The 24,207-nt window shown below is 36.3% G+C and overlaps 1 protein-coding gene across 8 annotated transcripts in view, besides 1 other annotated feature; it reads right to left on the bottom strand.

The window, feature by feature from the left end:
- MAP3K20 (mitogen-activated protein kinase kinase kinase 20) overlaps positions 1–24,207 on the bottom strand; it is a 192,499-nt gene that overhangs the window by 72,310 nt on the left and 95,982 nt on the right. For all 8 annotated transcript variants that reach the window (XM_047444746.1, XM_017004324.2, NM_016653.3 and 5 more), the window contains exons 4-7: positions 12,751–12,852; positions 8,083–8,148; positions 4,783–4,811; positions 4,529–4,666 (exon numbers count right to left, since the gene is read on the bottom strand). In XM_047444746.1, the coding sequence (XP_047300702.1) occupies positions 4,529–4,666; positions 4,783–4,811; positions 8,083–8,148; positions 12,751–12,852 (335 nt within the window). The remainder of the gene's footprint in view (positions 1–4,528; positions 4,667–4,782; positions 4,812–8,082; positions 8,149–12,750; positions 12,853–24,207) is intronic.
- Positions 3,570–4,151: an enhancer, noted in NCBI's record as "OCT4-NANOG hESC enhancer chr2:174056283-174056864 (GRCh37/hg19 assembly coordinates)". NCBI's record gives its function as "activates a minimal SCP1, AML or CMV promoter by ChIP-STARR-seq in naive H9 embryonic stem cells {active_cell/tissue: H9 hESC(naive)}" and the evidence as "EXISTENCE:reporter gene assay evidence [ECO:0000049][PMID:30033119]".

Raw genomic sequence — 24,207 nt, 5'->3', positions numbered from 1 at the left:
TGGATTTGGGGATGTATCAAAAAGCAGGTGGTATAAGATAGGACATCAGCTTTTTTTTTCCACACTAAACAAAAATAACATTTGGCATACAAAAGTAACTTTACTGAGGAAGTCACTTGGAGGTCTAAAAATATATTAAATGATGCCTAAAAATACCAGTTATGAGGATTCAGGCCAAATATTATTGTGATCTTTCACCTTAAAAATATTTTCCGACTCATTTTATATTGAGACGTCCTCACATTTAAACTGTGCTCACAAGGAAAATTTATGTTTTCAGTTTACAGAATAGAAACTTGGAAAAGACTACGTACTTTTTCTGCCCTTTCTTTTCCAAACAATAGAAAGCCATTACCTGAGCCCAGCTTGTTCTGGAACAGTGCTCACAGACAAGCCAGGCAGCCATGCTGTCTCTTAAGCCACTATGTTTTCAAGGCTGGTTTTGGCTGAGAAGCTTCTAAGAAGGTAATCCTTTCTGCATTGTCATTAGAATAGCTTTTTTTTTTTTTTTTTTTTTAAAGAGAGGCTAGGCCTTGTGTTCTCAGAAGGCTTATTCTTTCAGTGATTTTTGCTTTTCTTTTTTTGTGGATAACATACTAAACACTCTTCCAGGTTCAGTCCTCCAAGAGTTCTCATAAGAGGGTAGAAAAATCTCATTTCTCATAAAATGGAGGGAAACAATTGCCTCCCTAGCAAAGTTTACCAGCTTAAGAGCAAGGATCATAAAATCCACTTCTGGCATTCACAGCACATTTATTTTAAGGCAGTACAAGGTTAGTGAGTCTTGCCATTTGTTAAGAAGCAACAAAGGTTTATCAACCTGGGGAGGGCTGGTGGTTTTGGGAGTAGTAGGGGCTAAATTCTTACAGCAGTCTAAAAAATTAGAAAAACAAAAAGCAAAAATATATTGCAGTTTTTTGGGTGGATTTTAAAAAAAAAACCTTTTTTTTAATGGTCTTATTCATCTGTATGTGACTGCTGTGTGTAGAGGGGGTTTCAATGAACAGAACAGACTCCCAATGAACAATGGGATATTTAATGCAAATAAATGCTCCTACTGACAAAGGAGTCTTGGCTACTCACCTATTTTTGAAAAGACATAAAAAATTCAAAATAACCACATTTTGAATTAAAATAGGTATCATTTTCCAAGTTTATGGACCACAAACTTCTAAAACTAACATGGTCCCAACCTTAACAACTATCCTCACCTGCTCTTTTCTATAACATCTACTTTGAACACATAATGCTTTCTTCATTAAAAAAATACCTGTGGTTGTTTAAATAAAAAGTCGCTGGAAAGCATACCTCGTATTTTTTCTCTCATTAATGGTGTTTATTTAGAACAAACAGAATGAGAAGAGGTCAGAATTAAATATTAGGTTGGTGCAAAAGTAATTGCAGTTTTTGCCATTACTTTTAAATGGCAAAACTTCAATTACTTTTGCATCAACCTATACAGTCCTGAGTTCTTGTTTATAATTAAATTAGCATCTGTACACTTTTCTGAATGGAATTCTGCTGACACAACATTCTGTGAGGCAAACCAGCATTCCAAGCAAACCTCTGTCTTCAAGACTCACACAGCAGAAGCTGTTTTAAAATAGACTCACTCACTGAAATGGCATTTCTGTTTCCACCAGGTAAGGGAAGGCTCTAGCATGAATGCAGAATTGATATTCCACATCACATGATGGGGTGGACAGGTTCTGCAGAGCAACATCCAGTGTGTAAATACAGAGCAACACTGGAAATGCTCAGTGGCTGGTGGTCGAGTTTGTTTCAGTAAGTGAAATTACTCCATAGGATGGTTTGTTAAGCATTTGTTAAATCCCTCCAAAACCAAACCAAACTAAGCAAAGGTAGGGTCAGCACACAAGTAGAGAGAAAAGCTAATCCACAAAGAGACGTGTTCAAGCCCTTCTACTGAAATGTGGTGCATAGTTTCTTAAGTGAAAAGATTTTTAATAAAAAACACTGAAAATGTGCAGCTCCAGAAAGGTTGACTCAAACTATGTTTAAGAAATGGGGTCAATGTGGAATGTATGAAGAGATTTTAAAATGATACAGGAAAAAAATCCTAAGCTCTCCAAACAGAAGTCACTCTTAACATCTTTTATAGTTTATGTGTGAAAAGGAATTTGTGCTTGGCTACTGGTACTAAGATTGTACTTCATCTCAGGAAAAGCAGAGGGGGGCATTTCACACCAAAGCCCTGGCAACTGTAAGGCTTTGAAAGAAGGCAGCATAAAGTTTGTTTTCATATATGAAATAATGTTGAGGCTAAAAGTTCAATGTATGTATAGTTGTGTCTTAAGGTCAAAAATTTTTGAGATAAGGAAATTCAAACACTTGGGGAGAATTTTAAAAGTAAAAGCACTGTATGTGTGTGGACTCATAAGTGCAAAAATGAACCTCAAAAGTCTTCTAGTTCATATAAATGTGACAAACAATTTAAAAGCTGTAACAGTCTACAATAACTATAACCAACATACATATATACCTAACACCAACAAACATGTTTATATACATTTATATACACATGCACATTAAAGGAGTGGGAGCAGTGGGCTCCTGGTGAGCCACTCTGAACGGTCAAGCCACGTTCCTAAACCACGCTGCTCATCTTCCCAAGCCCTCTTGTTCCAGGGAGGTGCCCGCAACGATGGCCTGCTGCAGAATACAGAGTGGCTTTTTCATGTTTGATGGGTTGTAAGAAACAAAAAGCCAACTATGGCATCTATGAAGACTATGCAACAGAGACTGTAAGTGGCCCTCAAAGCCAAAAATATATATTATCTGGTCCTTTCTAGAAAAAGTTTGCTTGTTCCTATTTCAACAGGACAAAACGAGAGGCCGTTCCCAACAAGCAGGCTAAGAAAAATTTAAATTACTCTCAGGTGGTGTGTGCCTCAGTAAATAAACGTTTGGTTATAAATGAAGGAATGCACTTTCACAAGAGAAAACAATCTTACAAAGAGTCTTAAATTGCTACAAATACCCCATTTTCAGAATATCCCACAGATGAATGTATGATGGTTAGAATGTAGTAACATTTGACATAGGAGACCAGTTTTATAAGCTAGTCTCCTCTGAAACTTATGAGAAATATTTGATCACTGTAATAGCTTATAGTCTTCATTCTTAAGAAACCAGAATCAAGGGATATCAGGTATTGATTTTTTTTCTTTTTTTGGATATCAGGTATTAAGCCTGATGTTACTCTTGCCTTCTGACCTTTAAAATTCTAGCCTTCGGTCAAAAACATATTTCATTCTTGAAATGATTTTTTCAATAGCTAACAAAATTAATCTTTATTAATTTGGTATACATAGGATGTGTTATGATTTACAAAAAGCTAGTCACTGAAACAAGTCCAAAACCTGTGAAGCCAGCATTAAATACCTAGAGACCGAATAAAGAAAACAAAACAAAACAAAACAGGTCTGACAACGTGAATCTCCTCTTGTGTCATTGGCTACCACCTGCAGTAAGAAAACACAGAAGTTCAGGACGAAGAGACAGGCTGATTTGGACCTAAAACAGGCTGCTTCTTTACCCATTACTATGAAAATGCCCTTTTAGGAAGTAATAGTATAAACAGCAGGGCAGTATAATAGTATAAATAGCAGGGCAGTATGAGATGTAAAGACAGGGAATTCCAAAACTATTTTGGACTTTTTAAAGAATACGTAACATTTTAGGGAAAAGTTTATCCTCAACAAAAGGCAACAAATGAATTCCTTCCTCCAGCAAAGAACTCTCCCACTCCACTTCCTTCTCTCTGATAATGCAGGTATAACCTATTCCTCAGGAAATGGCCCATCTCCAAATTCCTCCTCCAGGAGCTTCTGCTCCTTAACGGATTCATTCCTGTGGTCTCTTCCTTGAGCACTCCACCCCCTCATTAGTCTATTCTCTATGTGGCTCTGCTGTGATTCTTATGTAATGCCTTAGAGTCACGCTTCAGATAGTCACTGCTACTCTAAGACTGGCAGCAGACATGGACAAGGTCATCTGGTAAGTGCTAAGTACATTTTCTTTTGGACTTTTAGAAACCGATGAATCAGTTTAATAGTTGAGACTCAAAAGTTTCCTGGTAATTAACTCGCTTGGCAGATCTATTGGTGATTTTATACTGTTTAAGCAATCCATTACAATGAAGTCCTGTTCCAAATGATCCACATTTCCATTGAAATTACAGAGAGAGTCCACAGTCACATTACCACCCTGCAAAAAATCATTCTCACAGGCAAAGCGGAGCCCAACACTATCTCGGATTCCATTTAATTTGTTTCTTGGAAGTGGTGTTGGTTTCTTCTCAACACAGGACAAAATAACTCCGATGATTAAAAATGATTAAACATTTTGGCAACTAGGAAGCGTTCTCCAATGGTGCTGCTTTAGGCATTCCACCAGCAGTACAGTCTCAAATAAAAATAAAACCATGTTAAACTGTATCTCTCTTCTTTTGAGTGTTTGCTTTTTGTATTTCCCTTAGTAAACAAGAAATGAGAAATGAACTCACCACACCATAGGAATATGTGTCACAAGTTTCTGACACAGGGAGACTCTGGATAACTTCTGGAGCCATCCATGGGAAAGTTCCAACCAAGGACATGTGTGTTGTATGGTTATGGAACCGAGAGGCACCAAAGTCACAGATCTGAGAAAACAGGAATCAGTGTCAACTTTCTACTTATTGGCTAATTAAGGGATTATCAGTTACAAAAATCTACATCTGAAATTAACAATTTTTTTAAGTAAAAGAAATAGTCCTACCTTCAATACTCCATCAGCAGCTATAACAACTAAAAAAAGAAAAAAGGATAAATTATGACAATCATCTAATTTGTTTGAGCTGTCTTCTACTGAAAAAAACCATAAACTTCTATTTCTGTCTTCAATATGGGATTATGAAAGGTGAAATCAATGTATTTACAGCATTGAGGATTTTGCAAAAGGGGGCTGACATTAAAACAAAAACTTAATTCCATTAGGTACTGATTAAAAAGGCTTCTGAGACACTTGTTTTATCCAAATGCAGTACTGTCCAGTAAGAAAGGCACAAATTAGTAGTAGTTAGGAGAACCAAATTTTTACCTGGGTTCTGCCCATGTACTGCCAATGTGATACTGAGGTAGTCATTAGCTTTACTACTTCATATTATATATATGGTTTCCTCCCAACTGAGTGATTTTTGTTAAAGGTGGAGAGAATATTCATTCATTCACTTGTTCATACATTCATTCATTTAATAAATATTTGCTGAGGCTACTGTGGGTAACGCCATGTATAATGCTGTGGAACAGGACTGTAAGCAAGTCTGCCACTGTCTTTGCTCTCAGGGGGTTTATATTCTTATCAGAGAGACAATTAAATAAACATCTACAACAAACTGGGATAGATTCCATGATGAGAGAAACAATACTATAGAGCCAAAGAACAATGATATCTGTGTCGAGGGCGGTCAGATGAAGTTTCCTGTAAGAAATGATGCTTATGCTAAAACCTGAAAAACACAGGAGTTAACCAGGAAGAGGAGAGCTGAGGGAGGAAAGTAGTTTCCTAGGCAGAAGAGAGAGCCTATGCAAAAACTCAGGAGCAGACAAAAAATGTATGGCAATTTTGGAAGGTAGGTGCCAGGTCAAGAAGAGAAAGAGAAAGCCAATGAACAATTTTATGTGGAGGGATGAAATGAGCAAAGGTGCAGAGGGGAGACTATGTCAGAGAAGAATAGACCTGGAGGCAAGGGCATCACTTGGCACTCAAGGTTTTGTGGTCCAGGAGACAGATGAGGACATCTGTACTAAGGCAGTGGCAAAGGACAGGAGAAAAGTTGACCGAGTCAAAAAATATTTAGGATGTAGGATCACCTAGGCTTAATGAATGGCTGGATATTGGGGGAGAAGGAAGCGAACTCAAGGATAAAATCAGATAAAGAAGCAATACAGATTAATGGTTAGAATAGGAGCTCTGGCTTTAAACTGTAACTACTATTTATCTCATTTCTGGCTTGGGCAAACAGTATTGCCACTCAGTAAAAGAAATGCAGGGATGATTTTTCGGGGTTAGGGAGAAAATGAAAAGATTAATTTGGACATAATATATTTTAGTGTCTTAAAAAATATCTATGTGGATGTGTCTAATCAGCAGATAGAAAAATAGTTTTGAAGTTGAGATCTGTTTTTGAGTGTTAATATGTAAATAGGGCTTTTATGGGAGTGCAAGACTCAGAGCATAAGAGGAGATGAGTCCAAGGATAAAGTTCTGAAGAACTGTTTCAGATGTTTCTTTTGTAAACCGTGCAGTGCCTTGAACATGATAGATGATCAATACTTACTAGTTACTGATGATTTTACCAAGGAGGGAAAATGATCTTTGTATGATCTAATATTTGAAAATAGCCTCAGGGTAAACCTGGTACTATAAGTAATAAGCTACAAACTTTTACAAATAGAAATGTAAATATTATTAATTTTATATTCAGCTTTCTCATTATAAGATTAACAAGTGCTCACTAGAAAAACTGCCATTATAAAAATACATAACATAGAAAGTGAAACTCTGGTTACCTTTCCAAGGGAAAAAGAATTGCTATAAGTTAGGTCTATATTCTTTCAATATCAGTGTATGTGTGTTCCTATTTAGTAACTATAATACATATAACTGTAACTTTTTAAAATGGGGACACTCTCCATTGTTATATAGTCTTCATAATGATAGCAGGGAAAAATCCATAATTTAGTTAATCATTCCTCTTTTGTAGAAGATTTAAGATATACTGAAGTCAAATAACATAGTTAAATTGAAATTCTGAGCATGAACTGAAAATTTACAAATTCATAAAACTCTGATCTTTTCTACTACAGCCTAGATTATTTCCTAATGACTTCCTGTTAGCTGACCATATATCAAAAGTGCTTAGTTCCAGGAAGCTTAAGTCTAAGAAGAACCAAAGAATACATGATAACCTAGAAGAGGAAAGGACAATCAGACAGGGTTAAATTGGTGGTCCAACCTGGACTACTGATAAGTGGCAGGTGCTGATAACTTCCCTCCCCGCCCCCATCCCTTCACCCCCTGCTAAACACACACACACTCACACACACAAACCTCACAGTCCTGAGGCACGTGCAAGGGTACCTGATCGATTCATTCCCTGGTTCTCTTCCACTACTTGTCATCACCACCCATTCTAAGGATCACACTATTAGCATATACTCGTTTTAATTAAAGATCTCCTAAAAATAGATAGTTCGCTTCCTCCTTACTGAGAAGGAGCATTTAGAAAGCATGTAAATAATTAATTGATTGGAGGGTATTCAGAAAAGTGGCAAACTCTGATGTTTACTTTAGCTAGTGCTATAATGCTACTGCCTTTCTCAGATAACTCTGAAGTGATGTAACAGAAGAAGCATTCTGTTACCACTCCTACTTGAAGGTAATGTCTAATCCTGCAAGTTATTTTAAAATGCTCACCCTCCAAATTATAAGATACAGGGCCATAAATAAGCTTTAGAAAGTACAGAAGAAGAGAAAGAAGAAAAAGAGAGCCTTTACTTTCCAAACTTCCAATCATGTGGCTCATTTCTGGGCACTACTCCAGGTAATACAGGCATGACTGGCATCAACAATTCACACCACGCAATTCAGATGCAACAAGAACAAAATTCAAAATTGATAGTGCACAAAGCCACCTAAAAATAGAAGACTAAAAATATATGACTGCATACTTTGACACAGCAGTATCTCTTTTAGAAAATGATTCTAGGGAAATAATTAGGGATGTCTTGAAAAATTTGGCTGAAATATTAAGCCCAACATTTCTTATCAGAGAAAAAATGTAAACAATTCAAATGTCCACATTCTGGGCTATATTTATACAGTGAAATACTATGCAGCTTCTTTAAATAATATTGAGATTTTTGTTATTTATTGACAGTAGAAAGGCTTCCATGGTATCAGCAGTGAGTCCAATAGTAGGTTACAAAAGATATGTAAAAGAATGATGCTCATTTCTACATGCAAGTGTATGTAATTTGTAATAAAATAGGTAAAATAAAAACATAACTACATTACCGTTTCTTGACTTGAGGTCTCTGTGAATCACCTTGACAGGAGCCTCCATATGTAAATAATGCATTCCTTTTCACACAAGAAGAAATAAAGGCCTATTAATATTTTTCAACATTACATCAGTATTACCTTTCATAGTTTTTCAAAGAACTCAAGAGCAGAAACTAATTCACATGTCTTATTCTTCCATGACTGATAAAATGAAAACAGAATATGTCTACATTAGTAACATGTATATGTGAAGTCAAATTTATAAGCTTTAATCTCTTAGAGGTTGGAATTTGACTGTGGGTAAATCTAGCTTCTTACAATACCTAATAAGGACACCTTAATTTTCTGCAGTCTGCATGAAAATAGCACAGTAACCACTGAAAGGAGGGCTCCACGACTAAGGTATTCCGCTACCAACTACCTTCTAAATCTGCCAAAGTTCTGAGTAAAATTTGTGGTTTTCATCTGGTTGTCTGCAGGTACCCAACTGCAGATTCTGATGTCCAGTTACCGAAGTTCTGGATGTCTATGGTTACCTGGCTGCAGCTTGGCTTTTTCTCAGTACCCATTCCAACAAGACCTGGGAGTGGATGTGGGGTAGTGGTGGGGAGAACTGGGAGGACTGATTAGTTACGGTTGGTAAATAATTTTATGATCTTCAGATAAAAAAGTATACAGTAGTTACAAAGTATTTCATTCCTTTTACAAGGATAAATCTTTGAGATAATCTGTATTTCAACATACTCCAAAATTCTTTCCATCATATTTATAGAGCTTTATTATTTTGAATATAAAATTATACTTTAAAGACACATTTTATGGTTACCACCTTAGTAGTTTTTGACTCTTTCTGTATTTACGTATTGTCTACCCCTTTAGAATAAAAAAAGGATGATTTTCTACTAAAATATATCCTCTTTATTTCTCAAGTTGTTTTTTCTAACTAATGGCAGAAATAGCCTCCCCCTCACCTCCAAATCAAATAGGCTTCTTTTTAAAATGAACAATGCATTGAAAATAATTTAATAAGAGGCTTAGGCTTTTTAAAGCATATAGAGAGGTTAATTTTTAAATCTTTATTCTTCTATTTTAATTATGATATATTGAAGAATCATGAAAGGACAAAGAAAATTTAAACTCTTGCCTTTTAATGATATCACTGAATGATATCACTGAAGAGTCAAGTTAACACAAGTATTAGTAATTATGTGATCTTAAATAAGATGTAACTGGGATAAAGGAAATTTCTCTTCTGATAAGAAGTTCTACATCCCTCAAACTGCAAAAATTCAATAGTTACAACTTGGGTAGCATTTAATAATCTATATGACTGGATTTCATAGTTACCTCTCTCTTGCTTTAGAATCAAATTCCTGAATAATTTTTCAGGTAGAATCTGTATAATTACTATTACTGGTAGAGATAGTTTCTACACTTGCTGACAAGTAAGGATTTCAAAAAACAAGACTCAAATACAAAAGCTTTAAATATAGGCACTTTCCTTCCTCATGGAAGATTATAAGAAAAAAGTACCATAAAGTATTAGTGTACGATGCATAGTATACATTTAAATAATATTTCATATAAACAATAGTCATCACACACACATAAAATTCTATTTAATGTTTTTGTAGATCCATCTATAATTCTGCCTTATATTTATTGCAAACAATTAAGAAGGCTGAAAAATACTTTCATCAGGTGTACATTCAGGGTTTCCTTAAAAAAAGAATTGGCAGGTGTAACTGAGGAGACTTTTGGGGAGAACTGGAATGAGTGGTGACCATTTTGAAACTGGATTGGAGTTTATCTGCTTTAATTGTTCCTTTTAAGCATTGCTGATTAGCTTGCAGCAATTTCAGATATACTTGCTGGTCCACCCTCCATTATCCTCACATCTAGAAAGAAGAGAATCTTTTTTGTGAGAAGATATTGTCTCAACAGCAATGATGCTGAGCAATGCCTATTTTAAAATGCATGAATCAACCTTTGCTTAAAATATTCATTCTCTGATTTCTCAACATATCATTGCTCCAGTGGATTCAATCATAGGTTAAACTGAAAGGTACATAGCTGAATTTGAAACAGAATCAACAAAAATCAAGGCTTCCTACTTAATCTCTTAAATTCTTAAGTTCTACACCCAGCTTATCAGAGAAAGCTGAAGTCATTCCTAAAGCCTTGATTTTTTTTTTTTAATGGGCCATCTTAAAGGATTTTTAAATGTTAAGTATTACTTGCGTCCATAAACATACAAGCCTCTTCTCTGCCTCACTCTTCTCACCTGAGGTCAAACACATTAGCCAGACAGGCAAAAGGGATTTTATTAATCTGCAGTTTTGGACACCATCAGTGGGTCCAATCCCATTCTCTCCTTCCCTTTTTTTATTTTTTTGAGACAGAGTCTCACTCGGTCGCCCAGGCTGGAGTGCAATGGCCCAATCTTGGCTCACCGCAACCTCCGCCTCCCAGGTTCAAGTGATTCTCCTGCCTTAGCCTCCTGAGTAGCTGGGATTACAGGCATGCGCCACCACGCCTGGCTAAATTTGTATTTTTAGTAGAAACAGGGTTTCTCCATGTTGGTCAGGCTGGTTTTGAACTCCTGGCCTCAGGTGATCCACCTTCCTCGGCTTCCCAAAGTGCTAGGATTATAGGCGTGAGCCACCGTGCCTGGCCTCTCCTTCCTTATTTTTAACTCTGGTACCAGTTTGCTACCTAATTTTTTTTTTTTTTCTAGACTGAGTCTCACTCTGGCTGGAGTGCAGTGGCTTGATGTTGGCTCACTGCAAACCTCTGGGGTTTGAGCGATTCTCTTGCCTCAGCCTCCCAAGGAGCTGGGACTATAGGCGAGTAGTGCACCACCACGCCCAGCTAATTTTTTGTATTTTTAGTAGAGACAGGGTTTCGCCTTGTTGGCCAGGCTGATCTCAAATTCCTGGCCTCAAGTGATCCACCCGCCTGGGACTCCCAAAGTGCTGGGATTATAGGCATGAGCCACTGCACCAGGCCCAGTTTGCTACCTAATTCGATTCCTTCTCTTCCTTGCCCTTCTGATGCAGAGCACTAGCACTCTTGAGAAAACACCAAGAATGACTCAGCTGATGTGGAGCCAAGAGACTTATCCCTCAGTCGGGATGATGTGGCATGTGGTTAAGGGGGTGCAGGGAGAAGAGTTTCCCAGGCTGGGAATCAGGGATGCTTAAGTAGAGCACAGCAGGAAGCAGAGTGACTGATGTTAGCTGTTTTGTTTGCTGTCTATCTATTCTAAGTGCCAATAAAGTAATAACATGGGTGTAACTGGCTGAGCACCCTAAATGCAAACGTGTGTAAGGTGATGTGCTGTAAGTTAAGTACTACCTATATATGCATTTACATTATTTAAGGGTATTTCCACAATGCTCAGGCAGCCTCCAATAAAGGCACATCACCTTGCTTACAGAGAGCTGGTCCTTGTGTTCTACTGACATACAGAGAAGTCACTATGATATTACATGAAAATATCTTTAAGAATATGAAAGTTTAAGCATGATTTGAGATGCCCGATGCATCAATACACAATTAAGCAAATTAACATAAAGTCTCAGGTACACCACCCTAAACACAGAGCTTATTATTTTTATAATGTAATGAGGCATCATTCAGCAGCAGCATCTAGCATGAAACTCAAAAAAAATTTTTTTTCACTTTCCCTATTTGAAGAATTTGGTAGGTGTTGATGAAACTTAAAATAGACAATTCCCCAAAGGAAAGACTGCTACTTTTGGAAGTCACACAGTGAAATCAACGTATGAGTTGCTCCCCTTACTGAGTGCTAAATCACATTATATTTGCTTTGTAAAGAGATGCTTGTAGAGAATGGAGTAGTAAAATGTAGAGGAGTTAATTGCCCCAGGAAAATTCAGACACACTTTGTAGGGGTTGCTAGAATACAAATATAACTATCGGTGTTCATTATTTAGATGAAGTTGTTTCCAAAGCAACTCTGACAGTTATAAATAAAGCCCAGAAATGTTCAGTTAGGAAAATGGAAAAAAAAAAGATAAAAATAAATGAAGTTTGAATTGCTTTAGAAAGCATTCATCTATGCAAGAATGTATGAGAAAAAAGACTGGGCACTTTGTTTAGGGGTTTGGTGTATTAAAAATATTTAATTCCAACAGCGATGCCTAAGTAAGTTTACATTAAATGTAAAATAAAATCTGAATTGCTTTTACATGGCAGGACAAATAAAAATTTTTTTTGCAAGTGGTTTCTATTTTTAGCATATTATGTATACAAAATGAGTAGAACTAATCCTACAATAAATCATGTTTTCTGGATACTGAGTCTAAGTAGAGACTTTCAGAACAACAGAACTATGATTTTTCCATTTAATGTGTCAAGCAAGCTAGTCAATTATAATATCACAAAACATGACAAACATGTCTGCCCTGAAGCTACAACTAGATTTCGTGGATAGAAATAAAGTAGAGTCTTAAGAGGAAGATAAAAGGAATTCAGGAGTGGAAAGGCAATGACCTAAAATATTATCTGTACCATCAGCTGTGGAATTCTTACTACTTTTGGTCTGGAAAAAGAACATCTAAAGACAGAATAAAACATTTTCTGATGTTAAGTCCCCATTTCAGGAGGGGAAAATGCACCCCACTAATTCTATAAGAATATACCAAATATTATTACCTTTGGCTACATCAGTGGCCCAGGTCATAATGTGATCCATATCCATCTCCTCACTTCTGTTACTGTTAATGTAATCATAGAGTGATCCCAGAGAAGCATATTCTATTTTAAAAGGAAAGATAAGCATATAATTAAAATCAAGATACATTTCAGAAATAAGACTTTATATTTTCATTGAGAAAATACATTAAAGAATTTAACAAAAGACATCAAAAATATATAAAAAATTGTTCCATGGTGTGGTTTCTAAAAGTTAATGTCATCCAGAAAAATATCTGTCAAACAAAAGACAGTAACTTACAATGAATAGTAAACTTCAGTTGAGAATCAAAAGCCATTTAGCTGGAACTGAGAAACCCAAAGAGGTGTTGGAAGAATAAATTTGAAACAAAGGTATGTATATAAATAGGTATTTCTTTAAAAGTTGTTATTCTTATGAGATAGATATTAAATGCATAAATCAGACAGCTTAATGACAGTGTAAACAAATCAATTGTTGTCACATAAGGACTTAGAAGAGCTCTCAAAATTTAAGCACAGAAGGTCAAAAAAGTGAGAAAAATCCTTTAAAAATGAAGTATAAATTACATACCACAAACTCACCTGCAATAAGTATATTATTGGATGATTTTTAGTAAGTTCATAAAGTTGGGCAACCACCACCACAATCCAGTCTTAGAACCTTTCCATCACTACAAATAGTTCTCTTGTGCCAGTTTGCAGTTAATCATCACTCTCACACCAGCCCTACAATCTGCTTTTTCTCTCTACCAGTGTGCCTTTTCTGGATAGTTCATATAAACAGAATCATACAAATTGTTCCTTGTGTCTGACATCATTCCCTTAGCATAATGTCTTTATTTCTTTGTTTCTTTCTGGAGTCAGGGTCTCGTTCTTTTGCCCAGGTTGGAGTGCAGTGGTGTGATCACAGCTTACTGCAGCCTTGATCTCGGCTCACTGTGGCCTCCACCTCCCAGGCTCAAGCAATCCTCCCACCTCAGCCTCCCAAGTAGCTGGGACTACAGGCACATACCACCATGCTGAGGCTGATTTTTTTTTTTTTTTTTTTGGTAGAGATGAGGTCTTGCTGTGTTGCTTAGGGTAATCTCAAACTCCTGAGCTCAAGCAATCCCACCTGTCTCAGCCTCCCAAAGTGCTGGGATTACAGGCTTGAGCCACTGCGCCTGGCCGCATAATGTTTTCAAAGTTCACTCAAGTGGTAAGCATATAAGAAGACTTCAATTCTGTTTTATTGCCGAATACTATTCTGTTGTATGGATATACTACATTTGGTTTATTCAGTCCCCAGTTGATAGATATTTGGATTGTTCCCAGTTTTTGGCTATTACGAATAATGCTCCTATGAACATTTGTGTACATGTCTATGTGTGTAAATATGTTAATTTTTCTTGGGTAGATTTCAGGGACTGATATTGCAGGTCCATATGGTAAGTTTATGTCTAACTTTTAAAGAAACTATCAATCTGTTTTCCAAAGAGGCTCTACCATTTTATATTCCTGCCAGCAACGTATGAGGGTTTCAGTTTCTCCACATCCTCACCAACATTTGATATTGTCTTTTTTTTTTTCTGAGAAAGGGGTCTTGCTATGGTGCCTTGGCTAGTCTCAAACTTCAAACTCCTGTTGTCAAACAGTCCTTCCCTGCCATCCTCTGCCTCACAAGTAGCTGGGATTACAGGTGCATGTGACTGTGCCCAGCAGTATTGTCTGTTTTTTTGATTATGGCCATTGTAGCGGGTATAACACTAGTGGTATCTCACAGTGCTTTTAATTTGCATTTCCCTAGTGACTAACAAAGTTGGGCATCTTTTTATGTGCCTATTAGCCCCTTTTATATATTCTTAAGCAAAATATCTATTCAAATCTTTTGTCCACTTTTACACTGGGTTGTTTTATTGAGTTCTAATAATTTTTTTTAGTTCTAGATACAAGTCCTTTGTCATATATATGATTTGCAAATATTTTTTCCCAGTTTGTCATTTGTCTTTTCATTCTCTTAAGATCATGTTTCAAAGAGCAGAAATTGTTAATTTTTATAAATTCCAATTTCTCAATTTTTCTATTATGGCTGTGCTTTTGGTATCATTTCTAAGAACTCTTTGCTTAACCCCAAAGCATGAAGATTTTCTATTTTTCTTTTGAGAGTTTATAGTTTAACCCTTATACTTAGGCTTATGATCCATTTTGAGTTCATTTCATTTTTATGTATGGTCTGAGGTGTGGCTCTAATTTTTTTTTTTGGCATATGGATTTATTTTTGAGACAAGGTCTCACTCTGTTGCCCAGGCTTGAGTGCAGTGGCACACTCTTGGCTCCCTGCAGCCTCAACCTCCTGGGTTTAAGCAATCCTCCCACCTCAGCCTTTCTAGTAGCTGGGACTACAGGTGCACATCACCACGCTGGCTAATTTTTATTTGTATTTTTTGTACAGATGGGATTTTGTCATGTTGCTCAGGCTGGTCTTGAACTCCTGGGCTCAAGCGATCCTCTCACCTCAGCCTTCTACAGTGCTGGAATTACAGGTGTGAGCCACCACACCCGGCCCTGGCATATCAATTTCTAATTGTCTCAGCAATCAAAGGCTGTCTTGGCATCTTTGTTGAAAATCCATTGCCAATCAATGTGAGGCTTTTTCCCTAGAATTTTAATTGTGTTCCTTTGGTCTATATCCCTGTAGATATTGTGCCAATATTGTATTATGTTGATTACTACAGATTTATAAGTTTTGAAATGAGGCAGTCTAAGTCCTCAAAGTTAGTTCTTTCTCAAAATTGGTTTGGCTATTTCTAGGTCTTTTGCATTACCACGTAAATTTTAGGATTGGCTTGTTAATTTCTAAAAAAAAGTCTGCTGGGATTTGGATAGGAATTGTGTGGAATTTATAGATCATTTTGGGGAGAACTGCCCTCTTGACAACACTGAATCTTCTAAACCATAAATATGTAAATGTCTATTTGTTTAGATCTTTAATTTTCTCAGCAATTTTTGTACTTTTCATTGTACAAGTCTTATACTTATTTTGTTAAATTTATACCCAACTATTTTATTCTTTTTGATGCTACTGTAAATGGAATTCTTTCTTAATTTAATTTTTAGGTTGTTCACTCTCAGTATATAGAAATACAATAGATTTTTAAATGCTGATCTTGCATCCTGTGACCCTTCTAAACATGTTTGTTAGTTTTAGTAGCTTTTGTGTGTGTGTGTGTGTGTGTGTGTGTGTGTGTGTGCGCATTCCTTAGGATTTTCTACCTATAGGTTGTCAGATAAGATAGTTTTATTTCTTCCTTTCCAATCTGGATGCCTATTACTTCTTTTTCTTGCCTGATCACACTGGCTAAAACCTTCAGTACAATGTTGAATAGATGTCAGAGTAGAACTTCTTTGCCTTGTTCCCAGTCTTGGGGAGAAAACATTCAGCTTTTCACCGTGGAATAAGATATTAGCTGTGGGTTTTTGTAGATGCTCTTTATCAGGTTGGAAAAATTCCCTTTTATTCCTAGTCTGTTGAGATTTCTTTTTTTAAACTTTTTTTTTTTTTTTGAGATGGAGTCTCACTCTGTCACCCAGGCTGGAGTGCAGTGGTGCAAACTCGACTCACTGCAAGCTCCGCCTCCAGGTTCACACCATTCTCCTGCCTCAGCCTCCTGAGAAGCTGGGACTATAGGCACCTGCCACCATGCCCAGCTAATTTTTTGTGTTTTTAGTAGAGACGGGGTTTCACTGTGTCAGCCAGGATGGTCTCAATCTCCTGACCTTGTGATCCGCCCACCTCGGCCTCCCAAAGTGCTGGGATTACAGGTGTGAGCCACTGTGCCTGGCCGATATTTCTTATTGTCAGTGAGTGTTGTCTGTCAAATGCTTTTTCTGAATCTTGAAATGATCATATAGGGTTTTTATCTTCTATGATTTTATTGTTTATTATGGTACCTTACATTGACTGATTTCAGATGTTAAGCCAACCTTCCATTTCTGGGATAAATTCTAATTGGAATTTATAATCTTCTTTATGGGTGGCTGGATTCAGTATGCTAATATGATTAAGAATTTTTACATCTATATTCATGAAGAATATTGGTCTGTCGCTTTCTTATGTCTCTGTATGACTTTGGTATCAGAATAATACTGCTTGTTCATATAGAATATTGGCATCTATTTTCTGAAAGAGTATGGGAAGAATTGATGTTATCTCTTCTATAAACATTTTATAGAATTCACCAGTGAAATCATCTTGGCCTGGGATTTTCTTTATGGAAATATTTAAAATTACTAATTCAATTATTATTATTTTTTGAAACAGTCTTGCTCTTTTGCCCAGGCTGGAGTGCAGTTGCATGATCTTAGCTCACAGCAACCTCCGCCTCCTGGGTTCAAGCAATTCTCATGCCTCAGCCTCCTGAGTAGCTGGGACTATAGGGGTGTGCCACCATGCCTGGCTAATTTTTGTATTTTTAGTAGAGATGGGGTTTCGCTATGATGGCCAGGCTGGTCTCGAACTCCTGGCCTCAAGTGATCTGCCTGCCTTGGCCTCCGCAAGTGCTAAGATTACAGGCTGGAGCCACTGCGCCCAGCCTAATTCAATTTTTAAATTATAGGTCTATTCAGATCTTCTGTTTTGATAATTTGTATCTTTTTAAGACAATTGTTCACTGCATCTAAATTATCTAATTTATTGGCATAAAGACTGTCATAACATTTCTTTATAATCCTTATAAACTTCTGCAGGAGCCATAGCACTGCTCTTTCTTTCATTCCTGATTTTGCTAATCTTTATCTTCTCTTTTTTCTTGATCAATCTAGTTAAAGGCTTGTCAAATTTATTAATCTTTTCAAAGACTAAACTTTTAGTCTAGTCTTTAGATTAATAAATCCTTTAGTCTTTGGAAAGATTAACAAATCTAATAAACTGATTTTTGCTATTGCTTTTCTGTTTTCTGTTTTATTGAGCTCTGTTCTAATCTTTATTATTTCCTTTCATTGACTCACTTTGGTTTTAATTGGTCCTTCTTTCTGTAGTTTCTTCAGGTTGAGGCTCAGGTTATCCACTTCAGATTTTCTTCTTTTTGATATAGGTGTTGAAAGCTATACATTTCCTTCTAAATACTGCCTTATCTGCATTCTATAATTTTAATATTCTATAATTTTGATATGTTACATTTTCATTTTCTTTCACTCCAAAATATTTTAAAATCTACTTTGATTTCTGGACGGGTGTGGTGGCTCACGCCTGTAATCCCAACACTTTGGGAGGCTGAGGCAGGTGGATCACCTGAGGTCAGGAGTTCCAAACCAGCCTGGCCAACATGGTGAAACCCCATCTTTACTAAAAATACAAAAAATTAGCCGGGCATGGTGGCTACTCGGGAGGCCGAGGCAGGAGAATCGCTTGAACCTGGGAGGTGGAGGTTGCAGTGAGCCGAGATGATGGCGCCACTACACTCCAGCCTGGGTGACAGAATGAGACTTCATCTCAAAAAAAAAAAAAAAAAAATCTATTGTGATTTCTTCTTTGACCCAGTAGGTATTTAGCTGTGTGTTGCCTAATTTCCAAAATTTGGGAATTTTCCAGATTTCCTTTTGTTGTTAATTTCAATTTTAATTGCATTGTGATTAGAAAACACATTGTATGGTATCAGTCCTCTTAGATGAACTGAGATTTATTTTATGGCCTCCCTTATGACGTATTCTGGAGAATGTTCCATGTGTACTTGAAAAAATATGTATTCTTTACATGTGAGTTAGGTAGAGTTGGCTGAGAGTGTTCTTCAAGTCTTCTATATCCCATTTTATTTTCTGTCTAGCTGTTCTATCAATTATTGAGAGTGGAATACTGAAATCAGTTACTGGTGAATTGCCTATTTCTCCTTTTAATTCAGTTAGTTTTGCTTCACATACTTTGAGACCTGTTTTAGGTGTGTATACATTTCCAATTGCTATGTCTTTCTGATGTCTTGATCCTTTTATCATTTTGAAATGGTTCTATTTATCTCAAGTAATATTTCTTATCTTTGCTGTATTTTGTCTGAAATTTAATATAGTTACTCCAGCTCTCTGGTGCTTACTGTCTGCATGGCATATCTTTTTCTATCTTCTTACTTTTAACCTATTTGTATCTTTGAATCTACGATATGTCTCTTGTAGAGAGTACATAATTGGATCTGGTTATTTTTTAATCTGATCTGACAATCTCTGCCTTTTGATTGAAGTGTTTAGAACATCTACATATAATGTGATTATTGATACAGCTGGGTTTAAATTTGCCATGTTTTCTTCATGTCCCCTGTCCTTCTTAGTCTCCTGTTCCGCCTTTATTGTCCTCTTTTGCAATAAAAAATTTTAATCTATCATTTAAATCCTTGATTGATTTTTATTATATTTATCGAATGACTTTCTTAGCAGTAGTTCAAGGGATCATAAAATGTATCTTAATTTAGCACAGTCTACCTCAGTTTAATACTAATCTAATTACAATAAAATATAGAAGATTTTCTCCAATATAACTCCATTCCCTCCCTTATCCTTTATGCTATTGTTGTGATATATTAATATATCTACATACATTTTAAAGTTAACAAAAGTGAACAAAAACGTATTGCTTTATACAATGTTATGTTTTTATTTTTATTCATCATTATCTTTATTTTAAAGGTAGAAAAACCATAAGTTGAATGGTAATAAAAAACAAAAATAAAAGTAGGAAAACTGAGGCATTTCATGAAAAGTGAAATCCATTGTACAATGCATAATACAGTCAAAGATCTTGAAATTAAATTGGTGTCTTAACTATTATTTCTTACCTTTAACCAATAAACATTATTTTTCTTTAAAGGAGATAAAAAGATTATTCATTAAATATAGTGAAAATAAACATCATTAATTAAACACTATATCTCGCTAACCTCTTTACATCCATTAACACTCTGTAGTAAAAATAATACTGGTTTTTGCTGTGGCTTCATATTTCTTTAAAATATTAACTAAAATAGATTTCTGATTTGGGAAACATGATAACCAGTGCCATTTGGTTTTAAAAAGAATTGCATCTTAATCACCAAGACAAGACAGCAAGAAAACAATGACATGGTCACTTGAAGATTCTCTCAGTCTACTCTTCACCATCTAGTCAAACACCCATAAATTAATTCCAGCAAAACGCCTAAGAAATTCATCAATCAACCTCCAAAGCACATCAGAGAAAGTGCTAATATAGTAAACAGTAAAAACAACAATGGCAGCAGAACATCTTATTTAAACTTTTGAGATGATAAAACAGTAGAGAACTGGGAACTCTTTGGAATTTTTTTCTTGTTTTGGTTAAGAAGATCATTAATACTTTATAAACTTCATACATATGGCCCACTGTAAGGTTTAAAGAATAAAAGGTTTAATAGAATAAGCAAGAGAATGCCATAAAACCCTTGAAATAAGAAACACTGCTAACTTTTACAAACACAAAGTTCCTCACGTTTCAATCAAGTTTAGTCAGCCCTCATTATTCATAAGGACAAGTAGGCCAGTTTACAGACAAGCGGCAACCTACGAATGGCTCTTAGGCATGACACAGTTCTTAAGATAAATATGTTTACACTTGGAACAGTCATGTGGATATTATAAAGATGGCAACTGCAGTCCTGTAAAACTATACCTAAGAAAAGAATGAGTCAACTTATATTCAGATACTTCTAAAATCCCTCATATTTTAAGATGCTCTCTCCATTAATTTATTTGAACAACAAAATACTGTTTGGGGAAAAATATATAAGTCTGAGATGACCTCAATCAAAGCTAGTTTTTCAAAGCTTATAAAGGTCACCTATATGAATAAGACAAAAGAGAGGGAGGGAAGTAGGGAGGGGCAACAAAATTTAACACAGAGCAATTATTCCTGGAACTATGAACTCTCAATTCCAACTGCGGGATGTCACTGAAAACAAGTCTTCTAAAGATCACTTTGAAAAGCTGTCAGTTATGACTACAAATATAGCATATGGGACTAAAATATTCAACAATCCTAATGTTATGCCATTGGGTACTTGTAGCTTGAGATAAATATCCAGAGATAGTATAATACAGAGATTTCCCCAAAGCATGATATTTCAAACATCTTACACTACAGTGAAGACATTGTACTCCGAAAACCATGTTAACTTTAAAAAGTCATTCTAATGATGATGAAGACATGGAATACCATTTGACCCAGCAATCCCATTACTGGGTATATACCCAAAGGATTATAAATCATTCTACTATAAAGACACACACACACATATGTTTATTGTGGCACTATTCACAATAACAATGACTTGGAACCAACCCAAATGCCCATCAATGATAGACTGGATAAAGAAAATGTGGCACATATACAACATGGAATACTATGCAGCCATAAAAAAGGATGAGTTCATGTCCTTTGCAGGGACATGGATGAAACTGAAACCATCATTCTCAGCAAACTAACACAGGAACAGAAAACCAAACACCACATGTTCTCACTCATAAGTGCGAGTTGAACAATGAGAACACATGGACACAGGGAGGGGAACATCACACACCAGGGCCTGTCGGGGGCGTTTATTTAATGCTAGGGGAGGGAGAGCATTAGGAAAAATACCTAATGTAGATGACAGGTTGATGGGTGCAACAAACCACCATGGCACATGTATACCTATGTAACAAACCTGCACGTTCTGCACATGTATCCCAGAATTTAAAGTATAATAAAAAAGATACATGATTAAATAAAATAGTTTCATGACTTTGAAGTTGCAAGAAAGGCAATATTATTACCTTTATTTCATATAAAATGTCATCTTTAGGTACGTGGATAGCTAAACTAACATATTAACTATTTTAAATAAGCATTTAATTCTTTCATCCTTTTGGTTTTCCCATTGGAAATTGTGGACTCACTATATACACATATAGTTACATGCTTTTCAAACCACTTCTCTGTAGAAAGTAGTTTACTGGATTTTAGTATAAAGTATTTGTTTCATTTTTTTTGAAGTCATTAAGAACCACATTAAGCAAAAATTTCCTTTTCATTTATAAGATGATTCTTCCCTTTGAGTTTTACGGTGATAATAGCTGGCTTTGAAAAATGTAAACATAGTATCAGTATTGTTGAATTGTTGAAACAAATACCATTACCACGAAATCTCTTTGTAATAAAATGTCACCAAGACCAAGCTTCATTTAAATTATAACTAATAGAATAAATTTACGCAAATGTCTGAAATGTGTTATAACAAAATGTGACACTTGTCTCTAATTGACTAATAAAAAAAGACTAGCACAATATCAAAACATGCAAATTAGATGTATCTGTGCTTAAAATAAATCAAGATCAAGTTAAGGGAAATGAGATTGGGCACTTAAAAATTAGTATGTTTTCCTTGGCTGGGTTTAATGAGAATTTGGGCCTGCTGAGAAATCATGCAGAACTAGTCTCCTCTCTTAGACGAGTAATAGAGGCTAACGCAGAACAGGTAACTTAAGAGATCAGCCCCTGAGAACAAAGCAATTTCCAGGCATCTGGGATCCTAAATCACTTCTCACCAGAACCCTGGAACCCAGTCTGCCACCCTTTCTTTACTCTTAGATTACCAGATACTTTGGGTGTGGGTTCCTCTCCAATCTGGCTTGCTACAAAAGAGCTACATGGTCTGGTATCCAGCAACTCCTTCCTTCATCTCCCAGGAGCTCCCCCTGCCCTCACATATTTATGTTTTACACAGACACACACACACACACACACACACACACACACACACACACACAGAAATAAAAGAATGGGAGTAGTACAGAATGAAGAGGTTTCCAAAGATCAAAGAAAAGATGATCCAGGCTGGGCGCGGTGGCTCACACCTGTAATCCCAGCCCTTTGGGAGGCTGAGGCAGGCGGATCATGAGGTCAAGAGACTATCCTGCCCAACATGGTGAAACCCCGTCTCTACTAAAAATACAAAAATTAGCTGGGCATGGTGGCGCACGCCTGTAGTCCCAGCTATTCAGGAGGCTGAGGCAAGAGAATTGCTTGAACTCAGGAGGTGGAGGTTGCAGTGAGCCTAGGTTGCACCACTGCACTCAGCCTGGCGACACAGCAAGACTCCGTCTCAAAAAAAAAAAAGAAAAGAAAAGAAAAGATGATCCATTATTGTATCTTTTCTTTCGGCTTTGGACTCTGAGTTTCTTGTCACCCCATTTCTTTGTAGATCTGGGAGAAAGATGTTCATTTCCCTTCCAAGGGAAATAAATTGGCAGCTACCTCTTAGTCTCTTCCCTGGCTCCCCTGATAAGCAGGTTTTATATGTCTGTGATAAAAAAGTTTCAGCAAACACACATGCACAAGTATACACACACATACACACCCAGAGATCATGTATTGTAGTCCCTTCATTCACATGAGAAAACTGAGACAGAGAGAGATCATCAGTGACCCATCTATGAAGCTCTGGCAGAATCAAGACAAGATCTCACATCTCACAATTCCCATTCCATTGCTCATTCCATTCCACCACTCTAATAAATCATTCTTTCAAGTTCTCAGCATGAATGACAACAGCTGCCTGCTGCAACAACCTTTTCTATTAAAAAAAAAAAAACTACCTCAAATTGAATGGATTCAAGCCATCCAAGCTTCCTCCTTCAGAGCCTCCACTATTTGATAAATATGATAAGGTTCACAGAGGGGTATCTGGCTGGGGCTGGGTGATCAAGGTCAGTTTTCCCACCTATCTTTGTTTCTCTCTTAACTGCCTCATACTAAGACTTATTTGTGCTCATTTCCAGTGGCAGAGTAAGTGTCGTCATCACTAATCCATGTGATTTCTTCACTCCCAAACTGGACTCAGTTGTCATATTTTCTACTACCCATGCACAGAGCATAGCTGTACAAGGTAGGCTGAAAGGCTCACATAAACAAGCACTTAGTTAATTAAAACTAACATCTCTAGGAACAAAGATAATCATATCAAATCAATACATTCAAAACATTAAAACTCACCTAACAGGTCTCTTTAATAATCAATCTCATAGGTCAATAAGAGAGCTATAAATATACAATCTACTACTGCCTCATAATCTGAAACTTGTGTTGTTTTAATTCTTTAGGTTTAATGTTAACTAAACAATGTAAAGCCAGTTGCTTACTTACTGGCTCTACAGGGAAAGAGATATAGATCCATAAAAAACTAATCAATTTAACTGAAGAATTTGGGTAGGTGCAAGTATGAGTAGAGAATGCTAAAGGGATGAATGAAATAAAGGATTGACTAGTCTGATACAAATACTGAATGGAAGAAAACTTCCTGGATTCTTTCTCCCTCTTTCAGATGAGATGACCTAGGGGAAATATGCTGGCTAAGAATGTTTGATATCTTCCTACTGAGAGTAAACTCTTGGAGAAAGAATTTCATATCACCACTCAAGTTCCCT

This window comes from Homo sapiens, chromosome 2 (genome assembly GCF_000001405.40).
Source record: "Homo sapiens chromosome 2, GRCh38.p14 Primary Assembly".
Lineage (NCBI taxonomy): Eukaryota > Metazoa > Chordata > Mammalia > Primates > Hominidae > Homo > Homo sapiens.
Note: the sequence above shows the minus strand (reverse complement) of the source record. Positions and strands in the feature narration are given on the sequence as shown.